Source organism: Homo sapiens, chromosome 7 (genome assembly GCF_000001405.40).
Source record: "Homo sapiens chromosome 7, GRCh38.p14 Primary Assembly".
NCBI lineage: Eukaryota > Metazoa > Chordata > Mammalia > Primates > Hominidae > Homo > Homo sapiens.
In genome coordinates this window covers 92,412,161-92,437,328 of record NC_000007.14, presented here as the reverse complement: position 1 = coordinate 92,437,328, position 25,168 = coordinate 92,412,161, and the positions used below count along the sequence as shown (strand labels likewise).

General features: G+C 43.0%; 1 pseudogene across 1 annotated transcript, besides 2 other annotated features; it reads left to right on the top strand.

Moving 5' to 3' along the window:
- Positions 1 to 14: 14 nt before the first annotated feature.
- On the top strand, positions 15 to 24,779 carry TMBIM7P (transmembrane BAX inhibitor motif containing 7, pseudogene; annotated as a pseudogene). Its single transcript, NR_145992.1, has 10 exons — positions 15 to 396; positions 3,900 to 4,174; positions 7,881 to 7,959; positions 9,263 to 9,316; positions 10,823 to 10,913; positions 14,923 to 14,960; positions 15,046 to 15,133; positions 18,896 to 18,985; positions 21,797 to 21,844; positions 24,207 to 24,779. The product of NR_145992.1 is annotated as a transmembrane BAX inhibitor motif containing 7, pseudogene (transcript).
- Positions 12,483 to 12,602: a silencer, noted in NCBI's record as "silent region_18370". NCBI's record gives its function as "represses an Ori minimal core promoter by ATAC-STARR-seq in GM12878 lymphoblastoid cells {active_cell/tissue: GM12878}" and the evidence as "EXISTENCE:reporter gene assay evidence [ECO:0000049][PMID:35858748]".
- Positions 13,860 to 14,360: an enhancer, noted in NCBI's record as "H3K4me1 hESC enhancer chr7:92052283-92052783 (GRCh37/hg19 assembly coordinates)". NCBI's record gives its function as "activates a minimal SCP1, AML or CMV promoter by ChIP-STARR-seq in primed H9 embryonic stem cells {active_cell/tissue: H9 hESC(primed)}" and the evidence as "EXISTENCE:reporter gene assay evidence [ECO:0000049][PMID:30033119]".
- Positions 24,780 to 25,168: the final 389 nt, after the last annotated feature.

Here is a 25,168-nt window from a genome sequence, read left to right as displayed (position 1 = left end):
CATGCTCCAACTGCCACTCTCCTAATTGTCGCTCAGAACATTGCCTCTCAGTCCCAGCACCTGCCCAGGCTTTGGATGACCGACCACTGGCTCAGGAGCTGGGAGAGCTACTTGAGGGCCAAGTGAAAGCCTCATTTTGTGATTCAGGCACCAGCCAAATACAGTTGCATGAGGAAAATTCAGTTGCCTGTGGCTTTGTTTTTTGTTTTGTTTTGTTTTTGAGTGCTTTGAAAATCTTGCTGCCTCTGCCCCTTCTGATTTGCAAGACACTGGAGAGGAAATCAACTTGGTTATCTGAGCATCCTCTAGTGCCTCTCAGCTCTGCGTGAAGACTGCTTTCCTCGGAGGAGTCCAAACTTTATCAAAAAGAGAAATATTTCCTTTTCTCTTCACAATGTAAATATCTTTTTCCGTTATTATATAAGTAATAGATGCTCATTGTAAAAATTCATACTATTCAGAGTGTGTTTCCCAACTCTGCTGGGTTAGAGATGATCATATGAACAGTTTATAGTGTAACTTTCCAGTCTCGGGAAGTGTGTGTGTATGTGTGGGTGTATGTACAACATTAATGTGATCTTGCTCAATGTTATTTTCTAATGTTAGTTTTTAAATTTAAAAGTGTGTAACAGTGAACTCTCCACATCAATCCATTTATATCTGCCTTTTCCTGTGCCAAAATTAATTTAACCATTCCCCTGCTGATGGATATTTAAACTGTTTAAAAATTTTTTGTAGTTACAAACAATGAATGGTGTAATGAACTTCCTTATACATGTATCTTTGCCTATTTGTATGGAAAGGTTTATGGGATAAATTTCAAAAAATGTAACTGTTGGGTCTAAAGTAAGACACATTTTGAATTCTGATAGATGCTGCTAAATTGCCACCCACCCCCCAAACGTTTATGCCCCCATGAAGGTGTCCCAGGACTGATACTTACTAGGCGAGTAGGACCAGTGCCTAGGACTCACGATAGTTTTAGGGGCCATAAACACATTTTAATTTTTTAAAGCAGGAGAAAAAAGTGAATATAATAATGAATATATAATATATAATGACTCCAGAGAGGATTATATTCATCTTTACACCAATTCACTCGTAACATATAATTTTTAGTATTTTTTTGGAGGAAAGGACCCATGAACAAAAACATGTATAGGGTCCATGGAGGTCATTTTGTGGCCCTGGATTCTCTATTATCTATCTCTTCACAGCCTTGCAATTCTGAGACTTATCTTTTTAATCTTTGCCAGTCTTTTTAGTTTTTACTTGCAGTTCTTTGGTTATTTGTGAGGTATTGTCTCCTAAGTTTATTGACCATATGAATTGCCTATTTATGTTCTTTTCTGTCTCTCTCTTTGTTTTAGAGACAAGATCTTGCTCTGTTGCCCAAGCTGGAGTGTAGTGGCACAATCATAGCTCACTGCAGCCTTGAACTTTTGGGCTAAAGAAATCCTCCCATTTCAGCCAGCTGAGTAGCTGGAACTACAGGCACATGTCACCATGCCTGGCTAATTTTTTTTTTTTTAGAAATGGGATCTCACTATGTTGCCCAGGCTGGTCTCAAACTCCTGGACTCAAGCAATCAATCCTCCCACCTTGGCCTCCAAAAACATTGAAATTACAGTTGTAAGTCATTGTGCCTGCCTTTTCTCATCTTCTTACTGGGTTGCCCATCTTTTCTTTGTTAAAGTTCTTCTTACAGTATAGTAAATATCACAAATATTACACTTAAAATTTAGCATTTTGGCCGGGTGCGGTGGCTCACATCTGTAATCCCTGCACTTTGGGAGGCCAAGGAGGGAGGATCACGAGATCAGGAGATCGAGACTATCTTGGCTAACACGGTGAAACCCTGTCTCTACTAAAAATACCAAAAGAAAAAGTTAGCTGGGCGTGGTGGTGGGCGCCTGTAGTCCCAGCTACTCGGAAGGCTGAGGCAGGAGAATGGCATGAACCCGGGAGGTGGAGCTTGCAGTGAACCGAGATTGCACCACTGCACTCCAGCCTGGGCGACAGAGGGAGACTGTCTCAAAAAAAAAATCTTTTTTGCATTTAATATTTGTAATGGTATCTAAAGTGCTCCTGTACCCCAAATCTGCCAAGCAGTTGTGTTTTTTTGAGACAGAGTTTTGCTCTTGTTGCCCATGCGGGGATTACAGGCATAAGCTACCGTGCCCGGCCTAGTAGTAGTTTCTTAAGAACTGTGTTCAGACTGGAAGGCACTGTGGCAAAGCCACTGCCATCTCATATCTGGATTTCTGGTCTCTGCCTCAGTTTGGCTTAGTCTGGCCCATTCTCCACACTACCTAGAGTAACCTTTCTTTCTAGGAGATCTCCATGGGTCCCTGCTGGGAAACCTTCCTTGATTCCCCATTGTATTAGTTTCCTGTTGCTGCTGTTGCAAATTGCCACAAACTGAATGACTTAAAACAACACACATTTATTATCTTACAGTTCTGGAGGTCATAAGCCTAAAACCAATCTCACTAGGCTAAAATCCAGGTTCTGGCAGGGCTGGTTCCTTCCTGGAGGCTGTAGAGGAAAAGCCATTTCTTTGCCTTTTCCAACTTCTAGAGGCCACCTGCGTTCCTTGGCTCATGGCCCCCTTCTTCCATCTTCAAAGACAACAATTGTATCACTCTGACCTCTACTTCTGTTGTCACATCTCCTTCTCTGACTCTGTTCCTCCTGCCACCTTGTTATACCTATAATCATAATAATCTTTGTGATTTGATTGGGCCAACCCAGATAATCTAGGATAATCTCCCCATCCCAAAGTCCTTAACTTAATTACACCTGCAATGTTCCTTTTGACATGCAAGATAACATAGACACAGGTTCCAAAAACTAGGACGTGGACATCACTGGGGAACTGCCATTCTGCCAATCACACCCATGGCCTTCAGGATGAAGTCCAGAGTCCTTAACTTGGCTTGCCAGCCTCTCAGAGGCATGCCCACTACTTCTCTGTGTAACCTCATTCCACTCTCCCCTTCAAACTCCCTGCTCCAGGTACGTTTCTGGAACTTGCCCTCCCTGCCTTCTCCAGTCCTGGTCCAGGCTGGTTCCTTGTCTGGAAAACCTCTCCCCACCTCTTCACTTGACTAATCCCTACTCGCTTCCAGCCATGGCCTAACTTTCAGTTTCTCTGGAAGCTTTTGACAACCTCTTCTACTCCCTGCAAGTTCCTCCAGATTTCCTTCAGGGGTCTCAGGACTTCCTCCAATGTTCCTGGTCTGCTTATATTGCCTTTTTTTTTTTTTTTTTTTTTTGAGATGGAGTCTCGCTCTGTTTCCCAGGCTGGAGTGCAGTGGCACGATCTTGGCTCACTGCAAGCTCTGCCTCCAAGGTTCAAGTGATTCTCCTGCCTCAGCTTCCCTAGTAGCTGGGATTACAGGAGCCTGCCACCATGCCTGGCTGATTTTTGTATTTTTAGTAGAGACGGAGTTTCACCATGTTGGCCCGGCTGGTCTTGAATTCCCAACCTCAGGCGATCCGCCCGCCTCGGCCTCCCAAAGTGTTGGGATTACAGGCAAGAGCCACCGCACCCGACCTATGTTGCCTTTTATATGATTGCTTGATTATACTCTCTTCCAAAATATAAGCTCTTTGAGGGCAGAGACAGCAAGGGCAGCTTCATGCTTGGCACTCATTAAGTTTTTGCTGAATAAATTCTATTAAAAAATTAATTTCATAATACAATCAAATTATTTTACTCTATGGGTTTCATCTTAAATGTTATCATTCATTTAACAAATATTTACTAAGCACCAACTTGGTAAGTACTGAGCCAAGCCAGTTACAATTAAGAAGAAATCGCCTGATGATTCTGAGGATGCTAAGGTTGTAGAGGTGTAATCATAAGGACATGAAAAACAATTCTTCCCCTCTAGGAAATTGGACTTGGAGGTCAGCGAACCAATAGACTTTGGTTCTGGAGGTCATCAACATCTGATTCAGGAAGCAGCAGATAAAAGCATCCAGTCCCAATCTGGTGAGCGCTACACACCTTCATCTTCAGCTGGGCCACAAGAAACTCGGAAGAAGCCACGGCCAAAGGACACCGAGCAGTTGAATACCTGTGTGATAGAAATTTCAGATGACGTCACCCCAGGTGATAACAATGCAACTTTAGGCAATCCTTTCTCAGACGCATCTGTCCGCAGAGGTGAGAATAAAGAAATTACCTTTTTAGAAGAGAAGAGCATATGTTCTCTTAAAATGTTTCCACAGAGAAGATTGTCAGATATAATTTTTTTTTTAGTTTTTCTGAGTCATGCTTTCTCATAAAATATGATGTAGGACTGCTATAACTGACTGCTTCCAAGTTGTCCAGGGCATTCAGAAACTCATAAGAAACGTATGGTGAATAACTTTTTTTTTTAAGGAAATATGAATTAATCATGGATCATAAAATGTTTTTACTTGTATACAAGGTGATACCACAATATTGGCTTAAGTTTTAAAGTGTCCACTCTGCCACCCTGAGGCCTTCTGAGGGCCTGAACAACTTGCAGGTGGACTGTGAGCTTTGAATCCTATTGGTCTCCCTGTGGCCCTCACCACTCCTTTCCTGTGGCTGGAAAGCTGCCTTTTGAAGCTCTAGCCTTTGAGGTAGGAGAAGGAAAAGGCAAACAGCCAAAGGCAAAGTAGAGCCAAGAGAGGGCTGCAGGTATCCTGAGAGTTGACCAAACCAGTCTTCTTTTCAGAGGCATTTCTAGAAACCACACCCAGAGTTTTGAATGCCATGTCATTGACCCACCTGTATCACATGGCCACCTCTATTTGGAGTTGTTCAGCTGAGCCCATTGCCACCCTTAACAAGATCTGGGTCAAATAGTGAGGAAGCCAGGGATATTGGATATCACTAAGCACCTGGCTGTCTCTGAGATCAATATCAGGCCTACACAGGGTGTTGTGCAAGGGCAATGCTATTGCGTTTCGTCCTTACAACAACCCTACAAATACAGAAGTTGTATTGCCATTTTACAGGTGAGAAAATGAGGCTTAAGGAGTCTAATCGAATTAGTCTTTCAGGTCTAATTGAAAAATATGTAGAGCCTCCTTGCCAGTGTAAGAGTCAGTTGTTTATATCTGCCTCTCCTGGAGGGCAGAGGCTGGCCTTTGTCCAATTAAAAAAAATATAGTATATGAAAATATGAAAGTGTTGTGGAGAAAAGGAAAAGTATAGCAGGGTAATGGATTGAGTTATGGGGGCTGTAATTTTTTAAAGCAGTATTATGGAGATATAATTTGCAAATCATAAAAATCCCTTTTCAGTGTACAATTCACTGGTATTTTGTGTATTTAGAGTTGATAACCATCAACATGATCAATTTTCGAACATTTTCGTCACCTCAAACAGAAACCCATACCCAGACTAGGCGCAGTGGCTCATGCCTGTAATCCCAGAACTTTGGGAGTTCGAGGCAGGCAGATCACTTGAGGTCAGGAGTTCAAAACCAACCTGGGCAGCATGGTGAAACACCATCTTTACTAAAGGAAAAAAAAAAAAAGAAAAGAAACCCATACCCATTGGCAGTTACTCCCATCATCCCTCCCCCAAACCCCTGCCAACTACTAATCTACTTTCAGACCTCTCTATGAATCTATTTTGAACATTTCATGTAAATGGAATCATACAACATGTGGTCTTTTGTGATTTCCTTCTTTCACTTAATGTTTTTGAGGTTCTCCCATGTTGTAGCACGTGTCAGTATTTCATTCCTTTTATGAATGAGCCGTATACAATTCCATTGCCTGAATAGAAAACATTTGTTTATACATTTATCAGTTGACAGACAATTAGATTGTTTCTACCTTTAGGTTATTTTGAATAATGCTGCAATCAACATTCATATTGAAGTTTTTGTGTAGACATATGTTTTCATTTCTCTTGGGTAGATACCCAGGAATTGCTGAACCATAGGGTAACTCTGTGTTTCACATTTTGATGAACTGCCAAACTTTTCCAAAGTGGCTGCACCATTTTACATTCCAAGCAGCAATGTATGAGGGCTCCTGTTTCTCTGCATCCTTGTCAACACTTGTTATTGTCTGTCTTTTTGGTTATAGCCATTCTAGTGTTCGTGAAGTGTTATCTCATTGTACTTTTGACTTGCATTTCATTAGCGAATTTTCTCTTATACTTATTGGTCATTCATATGTCTTCTTTGGAGGAATGTCTATTCAAATCCTTTGCCCACTTAAAGAAAGCAGCAACCATTTTATTATCTCTCATAATTCTGTGGGTTGACTCAGTTGGTCAACTCTTGTGCTGCTCTTGAATTGGGAGCTCTCATTCACTTACAATGAGATGGTAGCTGAGGCTGCTATGGCCATTATGACTGCATGTTATGGCTTGCAGTTGGTGTTAGTTGGGGATCCAAATTCATCCTTTTGTAGGTGTATATCCAGTCTTCCCAGCACCATTTGTCAAAACGATTATTCTTTCTTCATTGAATTTTCCTGGCACATTTGTTAAAAATCAATTGACCGTAAATATAAAGGTTTGTTTCTGGACTGTCACTTTGATTCCATTGATCTCTGTGTCTGTTCTTGTGAGCCTGGGCCACATTTAATATTTGTTCCCCCACAGTCCCTGCTACATAGCAGATGCCAAATTAATGTGAGCTAAATGAATATTTTAATGTAGGCAGCATACACTTGGTAATATATGTTCTGGTATTTTTATTAAGACAGTTTAGACCCACTGCTTTGTAGTCATACTTCCCTATGCATAGAAACTTCCCAGCAAAAGGACAGTCGACGATCCTGTAAGTTAATTTTAAGCAGCATTACTTCTTTTTTTTCTTTGAAATTGGGATAAAGCCACACAAAAGGCAAATTGCCATTGCCAGTGCCATATTCAGAGGGCCCAGGACATAAGCAGAAAGAGGTGCCCACGTGCTGTGCCTTGTATGTTGGCCTGTCATTCTCTTGGAACTCTTTGGTCTCATGTACAGTTCGCCAAGTTATCTATTTCTGCATCAGAATGCAGAAGAGAAGAGAGTTTCTACAGGCGGGTAGGCTGGAGAGAAAAGTGGCAGAAAAGCTCTACAAACCCTCTGCAGCCCAAGTCCATCTCCAGGGAGACGCCCCCCCGTCTCCCACAGTCCTGAGGTGCTGCTGCTCTCCGATGCAGGGAGGTAGTGTCGCTGGATCCCTAATGATGGGCCTGTGACATGGTGAGGATTTCAAATCATGTTTGATCCTAAGGAGGATGGGATGTGCATGACAAGGAATTAAATTCCTGAGTTTGTCTTGAAAATTCTGGGCTTTGGCCAGGCATGGTGGCTCATGCCTACAATCCCAGCATTTTGGGAGGCTGAGGCAGGTGGATCACCTGAGATCAGGAGTTTGAGACCAGCCTGGGCAACATGGTGAAACCCCATCTTTACTTAAAAAAAAAAAAAATTAGCTAGGAGTGGTGGTAATCTTAGCTATTCAGGAGGCTGAGGCATGAGAATCGCTTGAACCCAGGAGGTAGAGGTTGCAGTGAGCTGAAATTGTGTCGTCACTCCACTCAGTCTGGGCAACACGGTGAGACTCTGTTCCAAAAAAAAAAAAAAAAAAAAGAAAGAAAGAAAAAAAAGAAAAAAGAGAAAATTCTGGAGCTCCCATGAATAAACCATCAGATCCCCAATAAAACACCTCTATCCAACCATCTGGATTGAGTGTGCTCTAAAAGTTCTATAGAGCTGCATTTTTGTTGTTATTCTATTTGCTGACTGTAAACTAGCACTGCCTTTCCCATCCTGAAAAAAGAGCAAAAAAAAAAAAATTCCTTTCATTAAATATCAAAAATACGTCATTACATTTATGTTGTTACTTTTGACTATTGTGTCATAAAAATAGTGTTTCTGTCTCCTCAGCTTTCATTATCAAAGTGTTCTTCCTCCTGTCAGTTCAGTTGTTGCTCACTGTGGTAATTACCAGTGTGTTTATTTTCTGGTAAGTCTTTATGACTGATGTAGAATTAAGTGTTAGGTTGTTCACATTAATTTTTATTGAATCAGCTTAATTTAATTTTGATCATTTAAGAATAGTTTGTCTGTTTTTGTTTTCCTGAGGCAACTCCTAGACCAAGGTGGTGGCAGATTTCTAGAATTTTACTTTCATTTCCTAACCGAAGCAAAAAAACTTTTTTAAAACTCTTATTTTGGACACTGCTTTCTTTTTTATTTTCTCCTGAGCTGTTTCAACAGTTAAAACTGGATAGAGAAGAAAAGGTGAGCTGGGCGTGGTGGTTCACATCTGTAATCTGAGCACTTTGGGAGTCTGAGGCAGGCGGATCACTTGAGATCAGAAGTTCAAGACCAGCCTGGCCAAAATGGCAAAACCCCGTCTTTACTAAAAATACAAAAATTAGCCAGGTGTGGTGGTGGATGTCTGTAACCCCAGCTACTCAGGAGGCTGAGTCAGGAGAATAGCTTGAACTTGGGAGTTGGAGGTTGTAATGAGCTAAGATTGAGCCACTGCACTCCAGCCTGGGCAACAGAGCGAGATGCTCTCTCAAGGAAAAAAAAAAAAAAGGTGAGATTATGGAGACCTTGGAGGCTGGAACAGTGTTAAATTCAGAAATTATTTGAGGGGGCTGGGTGCAGTGATTCACACCTGCAATCCCAGTGCTTTGGGAGGCCTAGGTGGGAGGATTGCTTGAGGCCAGGAGTTTGAGACCAACCTGGGCCACATAGTGAGAACCCCATCTCTACAAAAATAAAAATAAAAATTAGCCAGATGTGGTGGCACATGCCTGTAGTCCCAGCTATTCAGGAGGTTGAGACAAGAGGAACGCTTGACCATGAGTTCAAGGCTGCAGTGAGCCACGATCATGCCACTGCACTCCAGCCTGGGCAACAGAGCAAGACCGTGTCTCTAAAAGACAAAAAAAAGAACTTATTTGAGGGACTATGATCTGTCACTGCTTAAACATATCCTAAGAAAAACTATATTTATAAAACAAACAGATGAGAAGTTGAGTTCTTTTGCTTTGCACACATATCAATCTCAGCATTTTAAAAATAAAAACCTTTATTAGGACATTTGCATTCATCCAAATTTTACTTATAACTTATTATGAATATATCTATTTTAAGAAAAAGAATGTTTCACTGTTTCATTCCCCATCCATCATTATTCATCAGTTAGGGTTTCTTCCTTTCTTCTCGTGATATTGCTTTACTTCTACTTAAATATCATATTAGTTAGTGAAATATTTATTGTGTAAAACTGTATTAAATTTTTTTTTAACCAGGGAGGCTTTAAAAGTTTGGGTGCTCAAAAATCCCTGGTTCATCTCTGCAATCTTGTAAGTATCATTGGACTTAATACGTTATGTTTTTTCTACTGTCTATTGCCTGAGATTCTTTTACTATTCAAAATGAGGTACAAGGTACAGCATTCTTGAAATGATACAATTATAGGGATGAAAAATAAACAAATCAATGGCTGTCAGGAGTTAGGGTTGAGTGTGTGGGTGTGGGTGTTACTATTGTCAACCTAAATTAACGATAGAGAGAGAGGCTTCCTGCAGAGTGTATTCGGAAGTGGCAGGGGCATTGCCAGGTGGGATACACGGGCCATGATGGATGATGGAGAGGTTGGGATAAGAGGAAGCCTTTAAAAGGCAAAGAGAAGTCTATGTAAATTATTTTGAAACAAAGATCATTGGTCAAAGGGGCTTGTCACGGGAGCTGGTGCTAAGTCATTGGTGGAGACAGCCATTGCCAGGCAAGTGTTTTTGTGAGAGCAGCTTGGCTGGAATGCTGCGATCTTGAGGAATTTTTTGTGATATACCCTATTATAGACATGTGGGCAGGACACGTAGGGACATGTGGGGCATATAGAAATTTCTTGCGTGTTTTTAAAAGGTCTTTGGGCTAGTTCTTATCTCAGATATATGAGATCCCCTCCTTCATGACCTCTGGCTCCATTCTGGGTGTGACCTAAGTGACTCCATCTTGGCACTGGTGACTTTCACACTATACAGGGCTGGGGCAGTATAAGAGAGGTCTTTGTGCATGTTTTCTTGAAGGATAGACAGTTCTGAATCTTGATTGTGATGGAGGTTACAGGCATCTGCACATAGATTTGTGTCATAATTTGATGACATAGATGATATATACACTGTATCAATGTCAAATTACTGGTTTTGGTACTGTACTATAAATACATGAGATGTAATCACTGGGGGAAACTAAGTGAAGATTTCACGGGACCTCTTTATCTCTCTGCAACTTCCTGTGAATCTATAATTATTTTAAAATAAAAATATTTTAATGCCCCATAAGCTATCTGTGGATGGAAATGAGAAAAGTTAATTTTAAAAGCTAAGAAGGCCGGGCGCAGTGGCTCACGCCTGTAATCCCAGCACTTTGGGAGGCCGAGGAGGGCAGATCACCTGAGGTCTGGAGTTCGTAGACCAGCCTGGCCAACATGGTGAAACCCCATCTCTACTAAAAATACAAAAATTAGCCGGGCGTGGTGGCAGGCACCTGTAATCCCAGCTACTCGGGAGGCTGAGGCAGGAGACTCGCTTGAACCCGGGAGGTGGAGGTTGCAGTGAGACGAGATCGCGCCATTGCACTCCAGTCTGGGCGACAAGAGCGAGACTTTGTCTCAAAAAAAAAAAAAAAAACAAAACTAAGAAAAGGCAAAAATAATAATTAACATTTTTGTTTATAATACTATGAGATAAGTAAGATCATGGTAAGTATTACTATGATCTATATCTACATCTATTTATCTCTGTATAATATACGCTATGATATAGTCTGTGAAAGCAAATAACACGTGGTTTTAAATTATCCTCCAGCTCAGCATTTTTTGCCATACTTATTATACTTGATTGCTGTGGGAATCTCCCCCGTCAGGTGCCTGCAGATTACATTCTCCTGGGATTCTTTGTAAGTAAACCTTGACAGCACCTGTTCTAGTTCACCTCTGAAATATATTTTTGTCGCGTTATTAAATTCATTCATTTTATTGTGGAAACTCTTCCTGTGGAACAATACAGATAGAAATTACTTGTGAAACATTCTCTTGGCGGAATTTTGTTTGTAATGAAGTAGTAAACTTATGAGATGGTATCACACCCTTTGAGCAGATTAGGGGATCTGGGCATCTGGGCGACTTCCTGCTGGCACACTTGCCTCTGATGAGGGCACCTTGGGGAGCGCACTCCCGAGTCTGGGCTGCACTTCAGGAACAGTTAACCTGACTGTTGCTGGGACCCCTCTCAGGTGCAAACACATTTCGTTATGGAGAGTGGATTCCACGTCTAGTTCACAAAGTCGTGTGCAAGAAGTTTATATTTCTTTATTCTTGTAAAATGTATTTTATTTCTTCTTGAAGTCCCACTGGAAGCAGAACCCATCTCTGAGCGAGGTTCTCCCTCATTTCCACAGCTTGAGATGCATCTCAGCTCATGAGGGCTTTCCCAGCACCGCAGAGTCAGGGGCTGAGAGGGCTCTCCTGATTTAACTGCGGCTTGGTTCCTGGTCCCGCGTTCCGGGTTCCCCAGCGCCTCATTGTGGTGGCTTCCACTCACAAGGCTTCGCCACATCTGCCCATTTTCTGTCGTTGGTGCCACCCTAGACCACAGAACCCAGGGTGGCTCCCTTTCTTGCAGCCAATTCCTTTCTGTGCTGCCCACAGAAACCCCAGGATCGTGCCAGCTCTCAGCAGGTACCTGAAGCTCCTAGATTTTTCTAAACCTGAATAGAACTCGAATTTCCACCAGTTTCCCTGCATTCCAACTCAGGGCTTAGCTCCCCAAAGGTCGCAGGGCTCCTCCCCAGGGACCCGGCATCCTCCAGGAGTCAGGCGGGTCAAGCCAAACCTCTTGCCTCCCGGAGGTGTGGTCTCTCTGAAGCTCACAGATAGTAACTCCGAGAGTGTTTGGGTCCTCTTATGAAAACCCAGAACCGTCTCAGTATGATTCAGGAGATTGTCAGCAAACAATTCTTTCTTTTTTTTTTTGGAGACGAAGTCTCTCGCTCTTGTCGCCCAGGCTGGAGTGCAATGGCACGATCTCGGCTCACTGCAACCTCCGCCTCCCAGGTTCAAGCGATTCTCCTGCCTCAGCCTCCCGAGTACCTGGGATTATAGGTGCATACCACCACGCCCGGCTAATTTTTGTATTTTTAGTAGAGATGGGGTTTCACCATGTTGGCCAGGCTGGTCTAAGAAATCCTGACCTCAGGTGATCCGCCTGCCTCGGCCTCCCAAAGTGCTGGGATTACAGATGTGAGCAACCGCGCCCGGCCAGCAAACGATTCTTTTTTGGGGAAGGTTGGCATTTCTTCCCAAGCAGTGTTGATCATTCTTTCACGGGAAGATTTATTTACCAATTGATTTATTCCCCATCTGATTCCAAATAAGACTTGAGGTGGCTTATAAAAATATCCATAATATACGAAGATAAGATCAATTAATGGAGAAATCTGATGAAAGGAAAAATGGGCTAGAAAATAAAGATAATGGTTAGATTAGTGTACAAAATGCATCAAGTCCTATGCACGCGTCTGGAGCCTAGGTTTGGTTCTGCGCCCCCTGGTGGTCAAAGTGAGCAAGAACACGTGACCGTCGGTGAGACTCAGCACCAGTACGGTGTAGCGACCCTGGGGATTTACATGCTGGGAGGAATAGCTAGCTCCTGAGGCTGGAGAAGACGGGCTGCCTGCTGTCCACGTTTGGACATTGCCTCACCTGCCAAAGCATGGAGGAGGCTTCCTTAGCTGGTGTGGGTACCCTGTTCACTGCCCGGGCCAGCAGTGGGGTGTCCCAGTTCCTGCACTGACAGCACAGATCACACTCAGAACGGGGCGGGGCTGGAAGCCAGACAGAGGCGGGAATCTGGGAGCCGAGACGGTGGGGGAAGGGCGACAGGAGGGCGTGCTGGTTTCCCAGAAATGTTTGAGTTTTTTACTTAAAAATTTTAAATGGCCTTAACGTTTATTACAAGAGATAAAAGTTATTGGTCTCCAAGGAAGCTCTCATCTCTGAGGTTTTGCTGTTTATCTCAAAGCAAGTAACGGCTTAAAAGAAGAGATATTATACAGGGGCAAAGCATTAGTTATGTTTTCCAGACTTAACCTCATGCCCAAGGGTTAAAAGATATATGGGAAAAAGCCCATTTCAGAAAAGGAGTTGAGGGAAAAAAGGAAAACACATTTCACTGACAACAGCTTTTGTCCCATAGAATTTTGGCCTCTTGAGCCCATGTTCTGAGCTCTTGAAGTCTTCAGACAGTTGTGACTTCCACGGCCTCTTCCTATTCTCTCTTCCACTCTTTCAAAAACCGAAAGCCATTTTCTAGCTTGAAACCATTTCCTCTTCTCTCTCCCTGTCTCCTCCCAGTCGCTCCCAATTACACATACAGTCACACATTTACACACACAACACACAGTCACACACACTCCACACCCCCTCATGCCATTCGCACCACACACACCCCTTACGCCACATACACACACACAGTCACACACACACCACACATTTACACACACCACTCATAGCACATACACACACAGTCATACACACACCACACATTTACACACACTACTCATACCACATACACCACATACACATGCACACTCACACACTTACACATATTACACAGACACACAGGCACACACACCACACACACCTCACTCAAACTCACATATACACCATCCACACCACACACATGTACACCTCCTTCATGTGCTGCTGGAGCTGGAGAAATAGGAAGCAACCGATCCAGTATAAGAGGAAGAAAGTCATCTGGAGAGGAAGGCTGGAAGCAAGCACATTATTAAATATCATTTGTATGGAGACTAGATACACTGTTTTCCCTATAATGGAAATAGAGAAAGCCAACTTAATTAAGTTGTACAAAGTAGAGAATCAGGCAATTACCCACTGGGTTTGGAGATGCCAGAGGGGCAACCCAGGACTTTGGAGACTCCACTTCTTTCCCAGCCTCTGCTCCTGGCCATCCTTGGCCAGCGGGAGTTCAAAGCCTTCTCTCGCAGGCCTCGTACTAGGATGGGCCTTCATTTTTACCCCTGGAGACTGGAGGAGTCTTTCCTGGCTCTGCCCGTGGACCAGTGGGTCAGCCCAGTCTCTGGATTTGCCTCTGGCAGAGCAGCCTTGGAGCTGGGCATGCCTTCAGCCCTGCGGCCACTGCTCTGTTGTCCTCATGCCTTGGTGGGCCTGACTGTGGGCCTGGGCACAACCTCAGTGCCTTTCTTGGTCTCATCCTCCAGCCTGACTGCCTGCTGGCTCTCAGCCCCTGCCCCTATCCCACCTTTCCCCGCACCCCTGGCTCTATTTGGGTGATGACAGTCCTCCTAAGCCCAGGACTGCACCTGCAGACGCAGCTCCACACTCTGCTCTGCCAGTATCTGCCCTCCAGCCCCATCTCCGGCACTGGGAAGACCTTGTTTCTCATCCCATGTCTGAGGTTGGAAGGCTGTCCCTCAGGTGCCTTGGAAAGCATCTGTACCCAGAATGTTATGAAGCTTAGATACCGCATATCCTGTCCTGATGAAACATTGATACAGTGTGGATGGCCCCCTTTGATGAATGACAATATGGTCTACAAATGAACCTTTTTACCTTGGTTTCTACATTCATAATTAATACATGTTCAATTCACTGAGTATGTTAAAGTTACTATTGTGTTCAAAGAAATGTTTACTAATAAATAATTTTCTCTTGTCCATCATAGGGAGGATGTTACAGAAATACTGAATTCTATTCATTCCCCATAGTTGCCCTGTGGCTGTGTGTACCAGGCTGTGCATATTCCGCCTTGCTCCCTAGACCCTGCTCAGAAGCACACCCCTCAAATCACCTCTTCTGGATTCCGGGCCTCGCCCCCATGCCTCGGGAAGCAGGCTTCTGATTTATTGTGAATTTTGTTTTTAGACAGCTCTTCAAGGTCTGCAGCTAGGAGCCGTATCAGTGTGAGTCTTTGATACACATTTCCTTTGATTTGTGTGTGCTTTTCTCGGAATGTATGTGAACAATAATCACAGTCTCTGGTTTTAGTTTCTACAAGGCCGAGGAAGTGTCATGGGCAACAGCTGCAACCACTCTGGTGATGCTAGCACTCACTTTGTTTGCTCTACAAACAAAAGTAGGTATTATTGAAGGGAGTGTGCCAGGTATGTCCCTTTGTCCCCAACCCATTTTCCTATGCCTTCCCCTGCTCTCTCAGTCCTGGAGGTCTCACCTCCAGGGCCCTCTTGCCTTAGGGCTTTCCATGGGCTTTGGCCAATGGGGAGTTCCAGCTGGAGACAGGAGGCAGGAAGAGAGAGGTACTGATTCCTATGGCTTCCTCCCAATGACAAGTTCCTCTTGGGCTAGCGGTGTGCCTTAGCAAGATTCACTGCCTGTCACAAGGTGGCCAACTCAACACAACCTTCTGGACTCCTGTAACTGCCCCCTCTCCTTTCCTCTTTGGGCCTGGGGCTGGTAACAGCTCTTTGGCTGGCTGCCAGACTAGCTTACTTCACTACCCGTTCTGGTTGCCTGCAGACACTTCTGTGGAGAGTTCCTTTACAAACAAACCCTCCTCAAATCATCCTATTTGAGTGTGTCATCTGTTCCTTGCTGGGGCCCTGACTGATACAGGGAATTTAAAAATTTAAAAGTTGTACAGTTTACCAGGCTCCAAAATGCCAAGATGTCCCAGAGAACATCTCATAATTTGAGATTATTTCAGTTGAATTGTGAGATGGCTCAGCCTCTGTCCAACCATAGGGTGTTCTTGAGATCTGATGCAGCATTTCCTGCGGCCCCTCCTTTCAGTCCTGGTCAATTTCCTTTTGTAAAGCATGGGCTGGCCTTAGTTAGGTAAATAACTTACACAGAAGGGAGTGCATTTCCCAAGCTGTTTGGCACACATCATAAGGAAGATCTTACACACATGCAGAATTTTAGCATTTTCCTAGTGGAAAAAGAAGTGTCAGAGAGACAGAAGGATCTACTAGATATTTAGTTAAACTGTATCAAAAGTTAGAGATTCAACTTTAATTCATGATGAGATCAGTATTTGCCATCTTAAAGCTGGCCATTTGTAGAAACCAGCCTATTTGTAAATAGATAGGCTTCCTTGCAATGAGTAAGGTGGACCACTGTTGAATGCACAGACTCCTTAAGCCATTTAAAATCCTCTAAGCTGGCCAGGTGTGGTGGCTCATGCCTGTAATCCCAGCACTTTCGGGAAGCCAAGGCGGGCGGATCACAAGGTCAAGAGATCGAGACCATCCTGGCCAACATGGTAAAACCCCGTCTCTACTAAAAATACAAAAATCAGCTGGGTGTGGTGGCGTGCGCCTGTAGTCCCATCTACTCAGGAGGCTGAGGCAGGAGAATCGCTTGAACCCCGGAGGCGGAGGTTGCAGTGAACCGAGATCGTGCCACTGCACTCCAGCCTGGTGACAGAATGAGACTATGTCTCAAAAAAAAAAATCCTCTAAACTGCCAGAATACTTTTTAAAAAGCCCATTAGTATTTTAAGTCACAGGTAACCTATGACCTGGGTTCAGGGGAGTGAATATTGCATTGCAAAGCATTTTATTTTATTGTTTGTTTATTTATTTATTTTTGAGACAGGCTCTTGCCCTGTCACCCAGGCTGGAGTGCAGTGGTGCAGACATGGCTCATTGCAGCCTCTGCTTCCAGGGCTCAAGTGATCCTCCCATCTCAGCCTCCCAAGTAGCTGGGACTACAAGCATTTGCCACCACACCTGGCTAATTTTTAAATATTTTGTAGAGTAGGGTTCTCCTTATGTTGCCCAGGCTGGTCTTGAATTCCTAGGCTCAAGTGATTCTCCCTCCTCACCTCCAAAACTGCTAGGATTACAGGCATGAGCCACTATGCCCGGCCAGAAAATATTTTAAAGATGGTATTCACATTGATGACTTTGAAAGGCAGCTGAACCCATGGTCAACCACATTCTTCTCCCTTATTATGTATTGGAGATGGCAAAATTCAGTCCAACCACAACCCAAGCAGTGTAGAGGAAATGTAGGAACACAATGAGTCTTGAGTTTTTTCATGAACCCCAACTGTCCACTTAGCAGGGAGAAAATTAACTAAATGTCCATTTGGTTTAACTGTAATTGGACCTCACAGTTGAAGCAGTTCCTTTGGGCTGGGTGATAGTGTCATGTGGATACAAAACACTCAGCTGCTCAGCCTCCCTGTCTCCCTGCCTTTCTCTCTAAAGTGGGGTCTGGGAATATGGGATGTGACTGTGGTTTGTGTGGGCTCTTGGCACTGGCCAAGAAGGGGACAGGGCGAGGATGGGGTGGGGATGCTACCGTCCACCATTGTTCCTGAATGACTGTCACCTGGACCCCAGAGTGACTGCCTGCTCTGTGGGCCTCTGAAGCTGACAACCCACCACAGGTGTGACTTGGAACCTGCTCTCTCTTGGGCTTGGTCAGAGCTGACAGGGCTCCCCACCTGAATTTACCTCACCCCAGTTATCCTTCCTTAATGATGTCACATCTTCTTTCTGCCAACAAGGAGCAAGCCTTAGGGTTTCATTGTCCTAAGCCAGATTTACTGCTCTCCAGACCTGGGTTGTCCAAGAGAAGTATAATGTGAGCCACAAATGCAAGTCATATGTATAATCTTAAATTTTCTAGTAACTACAGTAAAAAGTCAAAAGGGACAGGTGACATTCTTTAGATAGTATATTTTATTTAACCATATAACTCATAACCATATATATATATATATATATATATATATATATGCAGCATTACCATTTTGACACGTAATCCACATAACCCAAATATGAATGAGATATTTTACTTTTTTTGAGCTGAAATTCGAAATCCAGTTGTGTATTTTACACTTAAAGCACACCTCAATTCAGACCAGCCACATTTCAAGCGCTCAACAGCCATATGTGGCTACTGTAGTGAAAGCACAGCCCTAGACCAAGTTTATCATGCACCATAATTACCCCGAGGCCTTGTTGAAACACAGATTGCAGGGCCCTGCAATCTGTGTCGCTGCATCAGTAGGTCTGGGGTGGGGCCCAATAATATGAATTTCCTAGGTGGTGCTGATGCTGCTGGCCTGAGAACCGCACTCAGAGAACCAGTGTTTTGGATTATTCTCTTGGTGTATTAAGGGTAGGGAGAAAAAGGGGGAAACAAAAGAATTAGGAAAATACTCCTGCAAGAAAATATACTGAATTAAAGGCTCTTGTTTGTCTGCATAATCTAATTTTTTTTTAGGCCAGAAGATAAACATCCTCTTTCTTAAGAAAACCTTAATCTCCTCAGGCTGATTTGGGTCACTGATTTATAAAGAAAAAAACAAAAATCACATCTATACATTTCCAGATTACAAAAGAATCATTAGCAGTAACTTTTGAAAGCTTAGTATATACTTTTGTTAGAACGTATGCATATAAATGTGAAAAAGATAGCCAGTTAACATCTTGGTATATTTCACTCCGTTAATGTTTTCTATATACATGCTTTTGAACATATGAATGATTATGATCATCCTGTATCTTCAAATATACATCCTACTTATTCAATGTATTTTTTTATTATGGGAAATTTCATATAAGTACAAAAATAGAATAATGTAATGAAACCCCAAGTACCCATTACCCAGTTTCCAAAATTATCAACTCATGGCTACTGGCATTTCACCCATACTTCTACCTTTTCCTCCCAGTCAATATAACACTTTTTATGTAGTATTTTTTAGTGGTTGGAGCTAATGAATTTCCATGGTTCTTGGAATTGATCAGGGTAAATTATTAGCAATGGGCCAGTTTCTATGGGGTATAAAATGCATCTTTAAACATCCTAAAATTTCTTATAGATAATAACTGAGTTGTTTATGCTGCTTATGTTTCCTCAGTGGGATTTTACCTGGCTAAATGGAGCACTATTCGTTTTCTGCTTCGTGCTTTTAATCTATGGAATTACCTTAATCTTCGTGCGATTATAGGTAAGTCAGATCTTACTGGGAAACCTCAGAGAATTGTTAAACATATAGATGAAGTGCTGGTTATGTTAGTCTGGGTCCTCTGAGAAGCAGACATGGAGTTGGGGATAAGCGTGCAAGGATTTTAATAGGAGAAATGCCTATGAGAGAAAAGAGGCAGGGAGCCAACAGCTGGGGGAGCTGTCAGACCATGACGGCATATCAGGCCTCAAGTGAAGGAGAGGGAGGGGAGGCTGGGTGGGAGCATTCTAAATATGGCGTGGTCTGAGGGCGGCTCAGCAAGGCCATCAGGAAGTCCTAGAGCTAAAGTCAATCATCAGGGTGGTCCCGTGTCTTCCAGGAAGGGCTCTGTTGCTCCCAGCAAGGACTGAGAAGTGGGAAGCATGGCCTAAGTGCAAACTGCAATGGGTTGCACAGCACAGCATCTGTGCCTGTGGTCAGTTCCATTCCCCTCCCGGTAAATGAAGGTCTGTGAGACGAATCCTAGTGGCCCCCACAGTGGTCGTTAGGAGGCACCATGGACAGAAGCTGTGGTGCATGAATATTGAGCTACAACCCTAGACAGTTGTCCTTCTCTAAGAGGGTCTCGAGGTGAGCCTACCCATGAGGGCAGGCCAGATTCCTTCTCCTATATTTGGGTGCTGCTTGTTTGAAGTACCAGGAGTGGTACAGAAAGGCTTGTTTGGGCCTTTCTGATAGCAGCCTAGAGGAGGCTCCTTATTTTCCAATTCTAGTTTTTTTTTTTTTTTTTTTTTGCTTTAATATATTCATTGAATTCTTACTAGATATTGGACATAGGCCTATGTGTTTTTCACAAAACATCACATTCAATTCTGACAACATTCCTGAAAAGTACATAGCTCATCTATTTTATAGATAAGAAAAGAGACTCAGAGAAATTAAATAATTCATCTATGTCCCACAGGGAGTGAGTGGCTGGGGTGGCACTGAGGCCAGGTCAGGGTGACTCGAGTGACCAATGCTTTTCCCACATCATTGCACGGTCCATGGACTGACTCTGAAAGGCTGTAGAGACCGAGAGGTGTGATTGGTGTTGGCAATCTGTGAGTGGCCCCTATGTGGAGGCCCTGTTGGAGGCCAGATCCACTGAGAGCTGGTCTGGGGCCTGGGACCATTTTGGCTAAAACCTTAAGGCCAACTTGGTCCCAATGCTGAACCAAGGAGTTTCTTTGGCAACAAGTGGACTATTTACACGGTCTTCAGACATACACAGAATCAACAGTTCTTCCTGGATTGGTTTAGTGTTATGAATGACCCCATAGGCTTAGAGCTAGGAAGGTGGCACCTGCACTTTAGAGATAAACTCAAAGGCCTCACAAAGATGGGCCTTAAAAGGCCCCAGCTCTCCACTAATTAATGGCAGCAGAGATATTGGTAGTAATAATGCAGATATTAGGTGGGTTCCATAGGTCTTTACAGTATAACTTAAGTTAAAAAACTGTTTCCTAGTAGACAGATAGATCTTAATTCCCATTCTAAATTTTCTTTCACAAATATCTACAATCTTGCACATGTGTTCAAATGGAAGACTTTGTTGAAGCCATTCCCTAAGTCTACATGCTTGTTGGACGTTGGCAATTTTGAAACCTTTGGACTCCTATGATCAGGTGTTTTCTTACTATTAGCTCAGTCTGGAAATACTGTGTCTCCCAGACTGTGTCACTGGCTTCTGATCATCTTCACCAAGAACCTATCCTTGTTGAAAGCTGGCAGTGCTTTGCCCACCCCTTTCAGAACCAGCTTGCTCATCCTGAAGAGTTAATGCCATATTTTTTTCAGATGTTGTACTCCATTTTTTAATCCTCTTCCCCAGTAGAACTAAGCCATTTGGCATTTAGACTAGTTCCATATTCTGACCAGGGCTGTTTATGTTGCAAGGAACAGATACCACTCAGACTAGCTTGAGGCAAAGAGCCAGAGAAACTCATAGACCTCCTAGGTGGGAAGAAGAACTGGGTTTCCCAGGAACAAAAACCCTGCCTTCCTCTCTGTGGCTGAGTTGACTAGCCACCTCTGCTTATAGCAGTAATAGTGCCAGCACGTGCTAAAGGTACAACAGCCTCTGCTACTTGGTTCCCTCTATCCTGAGAATTGATTTCCAGCTGGCCTGGTGCATCTGTCTAAGCCCACTCACATATCAGAAGTCCCTGATCAATCATCAGACTCACTGTTTTTGGAGCTGGGGTCTTCCACTGCTTGTCAATCAGCTCTAGCTAGGATGTGTAAAGGTCACTATGACCCCAAGGCTTCCTGTTCCATGAACTGAGAGGAGAGGGAAGATTCTCTAGAAGGGCTATGTGGATGGGGCACGAAGTGAAATACATCTAATACATTCTACTTGCCCTACCATGCATGAGACGTTTAGCATTTACTTGGTGAATATTATTTAGCATGTGCAAGCTTAGTTTTTATTTGCTTGCTTATTGGAATTGAGTGGGTGCTGTTGACTAAGAATGCTATCATGGACTTTGGGGACTTAGCAGGGAAGGGTAGGAGGGGCGTGAGGGTAAAAAGGCTACATATTGGATATAGTATATACTGCTAAGGTGACAAATGCACCAAAATCTCAGTAATCACCACTGAGGAACTTATCCATGTAACCAAAAAGCACCTGTTACCCAAAAGCTATTGAAAGAAAATAAAATTTAATTTAAAAAAAAAGAAAAGATGAATTCCCCCATAGATTCAGCTTTCTTAATATTGGTTCCTTATCTGGCAGCAGTGATCTAAGTGGCCCCTTTCATTATTCCAAATATTTTTCTTCATATGCAGCCGTATCTTTTCTCTTTGCAGTGGCTGCATCTATTATATGCTGGACTCGGAACTGTGCTCTTCTCACTCGTAAGTCCATTGCTCCATCTCTTTGGTAAGAGTGTGGTATGTGCATTGACAAGCCCTTGTGCTAGGCCTGGAGTCACATGGGGTTAGGAATTCACTGGAAACTCTTCAGCTCCCTTTTAAAGGATCATATTTAAAACCATTACCCTTAGGAGAGCCAGATGGTCTTCCGGATCCACGAAAACATCACTTTTGTTGAAAGAGTGAATATTTCAGAAAAGAATGAAGAATTATTTATAAACTTTGAAACTTACTGTAGCAGGGGTGTGGTTTCTTTTTTGTTTCTCCCTCCAGACCAGTTTCTATTCTTTCACAATAGAAACTTCTCCTAGAGAACCGGTGGAGGTCACTGCTAATGTATCTGGGAACGTCTTTCCTTCCATTTAGTCCCATCTCTTGCTGTTGTATCTTTAAAACTATTTTAAGGAATGTTTTATTTAAAAAGTAATACATGCACACATTTTAAAATTCAAACAACATAGAAGAGTATAAAATGAAAATTAAAATCTCTCTCTTATCCCCTGTCCCTAGAAGGAACTGTTAACAGTTTCTTGGAGTCCTTTTAGAACTTCTTTACACATAGGCACCATTTCTTCTTACACAAACGTAGCTATACTATGTATAACATCCTGCCTTTGCTTTTTCACTTAAAAATAATGGCTTCTGCATATTAGCAGACCTGGGTCCAACTAATCTTTTTCAAGGGCTGCATGGAATTCCATTTCATGCTTTTATCATATCACATCTTTCAGGGTTTTGTTGTTTGTTTGAGACAGGGTCTTGCTCTGTCACCCAGGCTGGTGTGCTGTGGCATGATCATGGCTCACTGCAGCCCTATCTCCTGGGCTCAAGCGATCCTCCTAGCTCAGCCTCCCCAGTAGCTGGGACTATAGGCACATGCCACCACATCTGGCTGACTTCATTTTTATTTTTAGTAAAGACAAGGTCCTGCTTTGTTGCCCAGGCTAATTTCAAACTCCTGAGCTCAAGCAATCCTATCTGCCTTGGCACCTCCAAAAGTGCCCAAATTATAGGCATGAGCCACTGTGCCCAGCCAAGATTTTATTTTTTAATATTATTTATTTTCAAAATTTCCAAACATATCCAGAAGTATTGAGAATGGTGTAATGAACCCCATATATTATCATTAGGCATAAAAACTACCCACATTTTGCTTCCTTTTTATTGTTGTTGGGATTGTGTTATATCTTTCAAATGTTAGAAAAATTCACACCAGGAGGTTAAGGTTAAGCATATACATTTCAAACGAGATCGGGTGTGTTTAGGGTGGTATGGGTGTAGACAAGGTTAAGCATATACATTTCAGTTTTCTCATTTCTTTTCCTATTATAAAGGGAAATTATTTGCATTCATTTTCCTTTATTCCTACACTCTCAGACCTTTTGTGTTGATGCTTGCTGTACTGATGCTTGCAAACAACGTTTCCATGCAAAAGTATGTTGATGTTTCTGTTTCCCATTTGCAGGCAGAGTAAAAACGATTGTAGACTCAAACAGGTCTACGCAATGCCAAACAAATTGCTGGAAAAGGAAATTGAATTTTGGGGGAAGCTTAACTATCAGAGTTGGGGGGCATGCGGGTGAGGCAGGGTGCCTCACTCCCAAATGCTCACAGGAGTCTGAATCCTGGCTGGGGCTTCCCTGTGGGTTGGTTGTGTCTTGGGTGGTATCCTGACCCCTGTTCCTCCTGGATGGGCGGGGCACCGCTGGATTGAGCTCATCTCACTCTCCCATGTTCCTGTCTGCCCTCAAGCACATAAACTCTCCCGAGAAGCTACAGTCCTAACCATCCCGTGCATGTCTGTGAAATGATTGAGAGTCATTATACCCCCTCTTACAAGAAGCAATAAATTAAAGCCAGAGATTTGGGAAGGGAAGGGAAAGAAAACCACTTCTGCATAGGAGCTGGGACTCCAGGGTGATAGATGAAGGCTGAGAGCAAAGCTGCATGCTCTGCCATTGGGGCTTTTTTTCCCCCTTTTTTATAAAGATGATGAATTTATCCCAGTTTGTCTGGGACTGAGGACTTCCCCAGAATATCAGAGTCTTGGGCAAATTGGAATAATTTGCCACCTTAGCTTTCTTTCCTTCCAAGGGTGCTGAAATGAGACACAGGGAGAAAGGGGGGAGAAGGGATTTGCAGCTCAGGTGAGGCACCTGCTTTTATAGACTACAAACTTGGGAACCCAGTGACCGACTGGGGCTGTAAGAATAACATATTCAGCCCAAAACAGACTTTCGACTATGTTTCTCCTGATGCTAAAGTATTTTTTTTCCAGATCATTTGGGACACTTATTTCATAGAAATGTACAATTTAAGTAGCTAATTCTTCCTTTTCTTCAAGTACTTGGTGATCGATGTGCAGCTCATGCTGGGAGGGCACCGCCATTATTCCCTGGACCCTGAAGGGTATGTTTTTGCTATCCTGAACATCTACTTGGACATCATCGACCTTTTCATTTTTATTCTGCGTCTGATTGGACGGGGACGGTAGTCACGCAACCAAGGCTGGCTCGTGCGGAGAAGAGGAAGGAGGGGTGCTGTGGAGTGTTGCCGGGCTCAGGCATGCAGAAGTCACCACTTCAGAAGCTCTTTTATTTAAAAAAAAATTTTAAGAATACTTTTTTTTTGTCAAATGAAACCAAGAATTGAGTAGATGATAGCTGTAGCTGTTATATTTTTAGTTCCATTGTCACGTAGCAAAACTTTCTGGGGACATTTCTAATTTTTATAGATTCAAAAGATGAGTATCATAATTACATACTTACAAACATTTGTATAATGCCCATTCCTTTGTTGGAGTTTTCTGAACACTATTTAAAGCTGTAAACAACATATCTCCACGTGAATACAATTGACTACAGAAACCTACATTTACTTCTTTCTCTTCTCTTGATTTGGACATTCTGTGGGAATATTCTGGCATCTGATATTTTTAAAGAGATAAACCAGAAGATAAATCAAATAATTCTGCCTTTCTCTTGGATTCCAGAGTCAGACTGGAGAGAATTATAGCATCCATCTGGTGGGGTATAGAGAGGTTTAATCAAGTTCACGTACATGAAAAGCTCAGGACAGAGCGTTAGCTGCTATTGTCACCATCCCACCCATGCTTCTGGGCTTAACCTTAACTCAGAGACCACTTCCTCTGACTGTTGGATAAATTAGCCTCCTTTGGAGTCCCAAGATATTTTTAATTTAATTTTTATTTTTCATTATGATAAAGTACACATAGCACAAAATTACCATCTTAGCCTTTTTTTTTTTTTTTTTTTTTTTTTTTTGAGATGGAGTCTCACTCTGTCG